Source organism: Homo sapiens, chromosome 20, assembly GCF_000001405.40.
Source record: "Homo sapiens chromosome 20, GRCh38.p14 Primary Assembly".
In the NCBI taxonomy this organism is placed as follows: Eukaryota; Metazoa; Chordata; class Mammalia; order Primates; family Hominidae; genus Homo; species Homo sapiens.
In genome coordinates this window covers 63,473,493-63,482,199 of record NC_000020.11, presented here as the reverse complement: position 1 = coordinate 63,482,199, position 8,707 = coordinate 63,473,493, and the positions used below count along the sequence as shown (strand labels likewise).

General features: G+C 57.3%; 3 annotated features.

Annotated features, from left to right (window-relative positions):
- Nucleotides 2,591-3,402: an enhancer, noted in NCBI's record as "H3K27ac-H3K4me1 hESC enhancer chr20:62110151-62110962 (GRCh37/hg19 assembly coordinates)". NCBI's record gives its function as "activates a minimal SCP1, AML or CMV promoter by ChIP-STARR-seq in naive and primed H9 embryonic stem cells {active_cell/tissue: H9 hESC(naive and primed)}" and the evidence as "EXISTENCE:reporter gene assay evidence [ECO:0000049][PMID:30033119]".
- Nucleotides 3,403-4,215: an enhancer, noted in NCBI's record as "H3K27ac-H3K4me1 hESC enhancer chr20:62109338-62110150 (GRCh37/hg19 assembly coordinates)". NCBI's record gives its function as "activates a minimal SCP1, AML or CMV promoter by ChIP-STARR-seq in naive H9 embryonic stem cells {active_cell/tissue: H9 hESC(naive)}" and the evidence as "EXISTENCE:reporter gene assay evidence [ECO:0000049][PMID:30033119]".
- Nucleotides 6,513-6,713: a silencer, noted in NCBI's record as "peak4318 fragment used in MPRA reporter construct". NCBI's record gives its function as "represses an SCP1 promoter by STARR-seq MPRAs in K562 erythroleukemia cells {active_cell/tissue: K562}" and the evidence as "EXISTENCE:reporter gene assay evidence [ECO:0000049][PMID:32103011]".

The following is an 8,707-nucleotide window of genomic DNA, read 5'->3' as shown; positions in this document are numbered from 1 at the left end:
TGGGCTGGCAGTTCTGCCCCAGGCTCTGGCTATGAGGATCCTGCCAGCCACTGTCTGAAGCCAGGTCAGGCCAAGCGAGCTGCCAGCTGTGGGGTTCCAGGGCTCAGCTGCCTGGGGGGAGGGGGCGGTGCTGAACTGGGCAGTTGGAGGGAACGGGCGAGGGGGAAGGAGAAATCCACTGAGTCCCACGGTGGGAGGCTGTAAGATCTCCTCTCTCCATTTCCTAGTCTCTGTAAACCTTTTACCCTTCAGGGTGTGGGGAGGAACCTTTAAGTATAAAAGGGTCCCTGTGGCCCCGCCCTCCCCAGAGGCTGTGGCTGCCTCCAGGGGTGGGGGTTTCTGGCACTTTAGGGGCCTTAACTGCCTCCCACTGCTCTGTCTTTACTCTGCATCTCCCGACACCCAGGCCTTCATCTTGGGTGTGAGGCGGGTGGCACACAGCGGGGTGCGGTACCCATGGGGCAGCCAGGAGCTGACTCAGCATCTTCACCTTCCCGCTCACGTGACGCCTCCTCCTGCCACCGCTGGAGACTCTTTACAAACCTTGCGCCCTTCCTCCATCACCGCAATTGTCTATCTATGGTCAGCACCCCCACATCACAGGTAAAGAGGCGGAGGTGCGGAGAGATCCTGCAGCTGCCCAGAGCCACACAAACTAAGCTCACAGTGAGTGAAACACAGCAATGGCTCCAGTGTCCTGCGATGATGTAAAAGCAGCATTTTTCCATCAGGCTAGGAACCAGCAATGCAGAACGCCCAGGATTCCTTTGCTGAACTCCACTGCTGCCCCGACCCAACCTCACTCCTTGGGTGCTCCCCCACCCAGTGCCCGGACTCCTGGCTCCTTTCTCAAGAAGATTCTCAGCCCTTGGCTTACATATTCAGGAACTCTTGGGAGGAAGTCCATTTATTTATGCTGTTTCATGCTAAAATGTGAATGGCTAACATACCAGAACTATTTGCTTTTATTTTTTTTTATTTTTATTTTTTTGAGACGGAGTCTCGCTCTTGTCGCCAGGCTGGAGTGCAATGGCACGATCTCAGCTCACTGCAATCTCCGCTCCCAGGGTTCAAGCCATCTTCCTGCCTTGGCCTCCCGAGTAGCTGGGATAATAGGTGCCCACCACCACGCCCGGCTAATTTTTGTATTTTTAGTAGAGACAGGTTTTTGCCATGTTGGCCAGGCTGGTCTTCAACTCCTGACCTTAGGTGATCCACCTACCTTGACCTCCCGAAGTGCTGGGATTACAGGTGTGAGCTACCTCACCCGTCCTATTTGCATTTTAAGAAAGGACATTGTTAACTTACACCATGTTTTCTTTTTTTTTTGAGACGGAGTCTTGCACCGTCGCCCTGGCTGTGCAGTGGCGCGATCTCGGCTCACTGCAACTTCCGCCTTCTGGGTTCAAGCGATTCTTCTGCCTCAGTCTCCCGAGTAGCTGGGATTACAGGCACCCACCACCATGCCCAGCTAATTTATTGTATTTTTAGTAGAGATGGGGTTTCATTATGTTGGCCAGGCTGGTCTCGAACTCCTGACCTTGTGATTCGCCCACCTCAGCCTCCCAAAGTGCTGGGATTACAGGTGTGAGCCACCGTGACTGGCCTTACACCATGTTTTCTTAATGTCAGCATGACTGGCATTGGGGCTGGATGACGCTGTGCTCTGTGGGGGCTGCCCTGTGCCCTGCAGGGTGCTTGGTGCCCCCCCACCCCCCTGGCCTCCACCCACTGGATGCCATACCATCTGCCCCTCTGCTGTGACGACCAAAACTGTCTCCAGACTCTCTAGATGCTCCCTTGGGAACAAAACCCCTGGGTGAGAGCAATTGACCTAAATGGATTTCATCTCTGTAGGTGGGATGCCAGGAAGTGTGATTAAGCAAAAGGCTGGTCTCCAGGATGGGGCCAGCTCGTCCGAGCCGCAGGGATGGACACATCATGCTCTCTTCAATTCAACCAGTGGGAGGATCTGTGAGAAACCAGGGAAGAGGGGCGTGTCCGAGCCAGGAACTGGACTCACCTGGGCAACTTCCCGCACGAGACCAGGGAAGAGGGGCGTGTCCGAGCCGGGAACTGGACTCACCTGGGCGACTTCCCGTGCGAGACCAGGGAAGAGGGGCGTGTCCGAGCCGGGAACTGGACTCACCTGGGCGACTTCCCGTGCGAGACCAGGGAAGAGGGGCGTGTCCGAGCCGGGAACTGGACTCACCTGGGCACCTTCCCGAGAGAGACCAGGGAAGAGGGGCGTGTCCGAGCCGGGAACTGGACTCACCTGGGCACCTTCCTGTGTGAGACCAGGGAAGAGGGGCGTGTCCAAGCCGGGAAATTGACTCACCTGGGCACCTTCCTGCCCTCCTCCTGACGCCCTCTCAGAATAAGGCTCTCGCTGTCTCGCTCCCATCCCCACCCTCCCGTGGGGTGGGGGCTGACTCTCTCCACTTGTCTGGGTAGCATGAGGTTCTGTCTCACTTGGGCAACTACAACAGAGTAACTTTGACTTGGTGCCTTAAACAACAGAAATTTATTTCTCACAGTTCTGGAAGCCAGAGGTCAAGATCAAGGAGCGGGCAGACTCGGTTCTGTGAGGGCCGGCTTCCTGGCTTGCAGACGATGCCTTCCCATGTCCCCACATGGCACGAAGCAGAGAAGGGAACCCAGCGCCCGTGTCTCTTCCCCTGAGGGTGCTGGTCCTCTTCCGAGGGCTCCACCCTCCTGACCCAGTCACCCCCAAAGGCCCCCTCTCCTAACACCATCACACTGGAGTGAGGGTTTCAGCATGTGGATTCTGGGGACACATCCAGTCCACGCAGGCCTGAGTGGCCGCCTGGTCTGCTGAAAGCCACTCAGCTCGGGCAGGCCCATGGCGGCTGCCTGCGGGCCATACTCTCTGCAGCCCACACCAGCGCCGCCCTCTGCAGGGGCTGAGGCAGATGCTGCTGGGTGCCGAGGGTGGCGCCTTCGTGTTTGCCGGAGGGTGTGGGGCAGCGGGCCGCCCTGGGAGCCTTGGGACTCGCCGGACTTCAGCTCTGTGCAGCCTCTGGTGTGCAGCTTGGAGAACCCAGCCTTTCTGAACCATCCACCTGGTGTGGCGCTAGATGACCTTGTCCTGGATGTGGGGTGGGGAGGGCTGTGACAGTCCATGGGCCTTGCCAAGGCTGGATGGCCCCGCCCAAAGCCTACTGGACATCTGGCCAAGCAAGGCCCTGGTGAGCGTGGGCAGGACGTTGGTGGGTGGGCAGCCAGGGCACAGATGCAGCCTGCATGGGCAGGACGTCTGGCCGCTCCGCTAGTCCTGAGCTCCAGCTGCCCATGTCCTCTTGGGGTCTCCCCGGCAGCCCTGAGCCACACAAGCCCCAGGCCTGTGACTGAGGCCACATCTGGCTGGGGGCTCCAGCGACGTCCAGCCCCAGGTCAAAGTGGCCATCTGTCATCTGACAGGTTGACATGCACCTTCCTTGGGCTAGGTGGGGCTGTGAGTGTCTGTGCCCACCCCTCCCCCCACACCTTGTGCGCTCTGTGCAGTGGGGCAGCAGCGCCAGGCAAAACAGTTTCCCATCGGGATGAGGACCAGCTCCAGAGAAGGTGGGGAGGGGACCCCGCGCCAGGGCCTCCCTGAGAAGAAGCAGTGTCTGCCATCCTGGTGAGCAGAGGAGACAGCAAATGCAAGAGCTCCTTGCCTGCTCAGGGATGTCGGGGTGGCCGTGTGCCCAGGAAGGGAGGACGGGGGCAGAGGGGTCGGTGGTCTTGGAGCGTGTGGCAGGGCCAGGTCTCAGGAGCGAGGAGGCCTTGATGAGGAAAGCATTTGGGTAGCGTCGAGGTGCCAGGGAGTCTGGATGTGTAGATCCACGGTGGGGCCTGGTCTCTCCCACGAGTGAGCGTGGCGCCTGCGTTCCTCACGATATATCTGCCACAGAACGGGGACGATTGCCACAGCTTCTCCATTTGCCTGAAGGCATAGGAGGGGGCGTGTGGGAGGCCACCTGTGACACCTGTGGACCAGAGATGACAACATATGGGGTTTGGGGATGCCACGGCACAGCATCAAGCAGAGAGTTCCCTCGAGGTCCCAGAGCTACAGGTGGATTTCTGCCCTTTCCGGATGCCTCCGGAGCCACCGTAGCTCCCCAGCCGTCACAGCTGACCACGGGCTCCTCAATTGACGGTATTATTGGTGGCTGGGAAGTACAAGTCAACTCCCTCATGCAATTAGCCGGCTTGCCAGGGGCTAGGGAAGCTTATTGAGAGCCTTGGTCCTTTAGAAAAAACTGTAAATTAAATTTTTATTGACTTTAGTGTAAGATGTTAAAAAAAATCAATGCTTTCATATCTTAAATCTTTTCCTCACTCCCCTGCTCCCCCGCAAGCGGATAAATACAGCCTTTCCTCCTCCTAATAATGTAAAATTCCTTTGGGGGGGCTGGGCCTCCCTGTCTGGGGAGGCACTTCCTGTCGCCCAAATTACAGGGTTAAACCCGCAGCAGCTCTGGCCCAGGTGAGATGACTGAGAACCTGTCTCTCCTCATCTCATTTCCCCAAATTAAATGTTGTTCCTCCTCCAGGCCTCTGTGGGGTCGTCTGTTTTTCTGAAGGTGCAGTGACGGGGAAGCAGCTCCCTCCGTTTCCACCGGGAGGCACGGGCCCAGGTGAGATGACTGAGAACCTGTCTCTCCTCATCTCCTCATTTCCCCAGATTAAATCTTGTTCCTCCAGGCCTCTGTGGGGTCGTCTGTTTTTCTGAAGGCGCAGTGACGGGGAAGCAGCTCCCTCCATTTCCACTGGGAGGCACGGGGTGGTGGCCTGGGAGGCCCTGCTTTCCAGTGTCCGCAGGGGCTATTGTCACTGGTGCCGAGGCCCTCAGAACGCAGGTGAAGCTGAGCACCTGGGCACAGATCCCACCCATGACAGCACAGCGTCAAAAGAGCATAAAATCTGGCCTGTTCTAGCAGGGGCCACAACCCGCGGGGGCCACCAGCACCATGTAGCCGTCTTGCACAAACTCACAGTGGCAGTCCCCGCCTCCCCGATCCCGCTGCTGACGGCCCCACACAGGAGGGCGGCCAGAGGAAGCTCATATGCCTCTCAAGTCACTACCCATGCTTGGTTTCCTGGGGTTTTTGTTCGTTTGTTTTTTTTGTTGTTGTTTTTTGTTGTTAAGATGGAGTCTCGCACCATTGCCCAGGCTGGAGTGCAATCATGCAATCTCGGTTCACTGTAAACTCCACCTCCCGGGTTCAAGTGAGTCTCCTTTCCCAGCCTCCCGAGTAGCTGGGATTACAGGCGAGCGCCACCCTGCCCGGCTAATTTTGTATTTTTAGTAGAGACGGGGTTTCTCCATGTTGGTCAGGCTGGTCCCGAACTCTCGACCTCAGGTGTTCCACCTGCCTCGGCCTCCCAAAGTTCTGGGATTACAGGCATGAGCCACTGTACCCGGCCTGTTTTGTTTTTTTTTTGAGACGGAGTCTTGCTCTTGCCGCCCAGGCTGGAGTGCAGTGGCATGATTTCAGCTCACTGCAGCCTCCACCTCCCGGGTTCGAGTGATTCTCCTGCCTCAGCCTTCCGAGTAGCTGGGATTACAAGTGCCTGCCACCATGCCTGGCTAATTTTTGTGTTTTTAGTAGAGACGGGGTTTTACCATGTTGGCCAGGCTGGTCTCGAACTCCTGACCTCAGATGATCCACCCACCTCGGACTCCCAAAGTGTTGGGATTACAGGCATGAGCCACTGCTCCTAGCCCTCATTTTTGAATTTAATTAATTAATTTTTTCTTTCTTTCTTCTTTTCTTTTCTTTTTTTTTTTTTTTTGAGACAGGGTCTTGCTCTGTTGCCCAGGCTGGAGTGCAGTGGTGTAATCACAGCTCACTGTAGCCTCCAACTCCTGGGCTCAAGTGAGCCTCCTGCCTCAACCTCCTGAGTAGCTGAGACAACAGGTATGCACTAGCAAGCCCAGCTAATTTTTAATTTTTTTTTCTTTTTGAGACAGGGTCTCTCTCTGTTACCAAAGGTGGAGTGCAGTGGTGCCATCATGGCTCACTGCAGCCGGGACCTCCTGGATTCAAGCGGTCCTCCCACCTCAGCCTCCTGGGCAGCTAGGATCACAGGCAGGCCACCAAGCCTGGATAATTTTTGCAGTTTTGTAGAGAGAGGGTTTCTATGTTGCCCAGGCTGGTCTCGAACTCCTGGGCTCAAGCAGTCTACCCACCTCAGCCTCCCAAAACTCTGGTCTTACAGGCATGAGCCGCCTGGCCTGGCCTCGGTTTTTCACTTTTGGTCCCACCATTCCAGTGCCGAGCCTGTGAGACTGGAGTCATGACCCAGCAGGACTGCACCTGCACCTGAGGGAGAGCACAGGCGTGGGTTCTGGAGGGCACCGAGTCTGCTCTGTGACCAGCACCATATGGGCAGGGTTACCCTGTGGGTTCTCCCTGGCAGTGACCCAGATGTGCTTCAGTTTGTCCTCCAACAACCATTGACTCTGGGCCCCTCTCTGCGCCAGGCTCCAGGGAGGACAGTTCGGGAAGCCCGGGGGAGCCCGGGCAGTAGGCGGTCACAGCCCCTGTGGTTTGCTTTCTGCTGGGGAGGGAGCCCACCAGAGGACTTTGGGGACAGATGAGCTGGCCTTGATCGGCAGGAGCAGCCAGTTCTGGCAGTACAATCTTCATGTTCTCTGGTCGCTTAGTGCAGCCCAGTGACGTGGGACACTGGGGAGGCCTTGAGGTTACTTGCCTGGAGGAGACCAGAGAAGGGGCTGGGCTTGCAGGTTCCGGGGAGAGGATGGTGCTGGAGGTGCTGAAGGGACAGCGCCCGCGTGGAATCCGCTGCTGCCCTGGCCGCCTGGGCGAAGACTGACTGTCTCCTCCGCTGGAGCTGGGCACCACGTACGTCTGAATTCTGCTCATCCTCTCTGGAGTCCTGTCGATGCGGTCTTGGCAAAGATTGTTTGAGCCTGAACGCTTTTCCCATCTATTTTTACATAAATGGAATTCCTCCTGCTTGGATGAAATTTACCCCAACTGGGCATTTTCACGACCCACTTTGCCTGGGCGCAGAGGAGGGGACAGGGGGCAGGCATGCGGGTAACCAGATTGCTGACAATGTAGCCCGTGGGTGTGCAAGACACAAAATTAAAAACATAAATGATTAATGAGCTAGCTCTTTGAAAGGACATCCTAAACAAAGGAGGAAGCAAGGATTTTCAAGCCTTGATGCAGGATTCACTTTCCAGAACCTTCCAAGGTGTGGCAAAGCTGCTGGAGCCAACGCCATTTGTAGACGGGAGAACCGCGAGCTGCAGGGTGCAAAGCTCCACCTGCATCCTGAGCCGGCCCCTCCAGCCCGGCATCCCCACGGGGGATGCCACTCTCGGCCACCCCCAGGAGGCTGTGAAGCCAGCCGATGGCTCCCCAAGACCTCAGCAGGGTTTTCCCCTTTTTTTTCTGAAAAATAAGATGAACAGGTTTGTCTCTCCCAATGTCCTGGACACCAGAGCACCTTAATCCTTGCTCCCATCTCAGCTCTGGTGCATCTGCTCAAACGGGAACTGGGGTCACTTTTCCTTCATCCTCTGTGGATCAGCCCTGACCTTGGGTCCCACTGGGCTCTGACATCAAACCTGAGATGACTGCTTGCCCAGGAGAGGTCACGTGTAGCCCGGGCACTGCCGAGGGGCACCGGATAGTCTGGGGCTTCCCCCCACAGGATGAGGGGCCCCAGCCCTGCAGGGTTTACATTTTGAGCTACGGCTGCTCCCTCGGGTCTTCTGGTGAGTGGGAAAGACCAGCGGCACCAGCCAGCGTGTGCAGGGAGATGCCACGGTGCTCTCTTCCTTCTGCATACTGAAGTCCTCTCCCTCCCCTGAAAGCACCAGGCTGGTGCCTCCTCCCTTAACAATCGAGAGAAACCGCAGCCGCTTGGGGCAAGCCCACTTCATGCTGGTAATCACAGCCAATGCGTGGGCACAGAGGCAGGGAGGCGGGGATCCAGAAAGTACCCCTGGATGTGCACAAGCTTGTGTAAGTTGCCGTCTATCCCCAACGTCCTGGATAACGTACAGGTTAGCATTCTGCCTGCACCGACCCTTCTGTATTCAGCCTAGTTAAAAACAAAACAACAACAACAAAAACAGGCCCCGTGGCCACTAGCTCTGGAAACCAAAGGGCAAACACAACTCAAGAGCTCACTCTGCACCAGGGTTAGGGCTGTTTTATGAGCAGGTCACCTGCGAGGACGGCGCCAGCGATTCAGCAGAGGGCCTTTCTCTGGGTAGAACCCATGGTGCCAGGCGAACGTGCAAACAGGCTGGATGTAGTCAGAGACGCACTCGAAGATGACACCCCTCCTGGATGTGCAGAGGAAGGCCCAGTGGCGGGGCACCTCACAGGGCGGGCAGCACTGAGCCGCAGGGGTCCCTTGGTCTCCCAGCAGCAGCTCCAGAGGGACCCCTCCCAGGACACATGGCTGCCGGCAGGGGGGAGGCCACCTCCGCGCACTTGCCCCCAAGGAAACACCGTCCCATCTGTGTCCAGGAGGCACAGATCTGCCTCCTTTGTCCCGAGGTGTGGCACTGGGCTTCCTGCTGGCCTGTCTGCTGCCCTGGGGCCACCCTCCAGTCCCTGCCCCTGCCACAGGCCCCTTCTGGGGTCTGCATAACTAAGTCCAGGCCCCTTGGGGGGCTTCAAGGCCCTCTAGGAGTGACTCTCTCCCATCC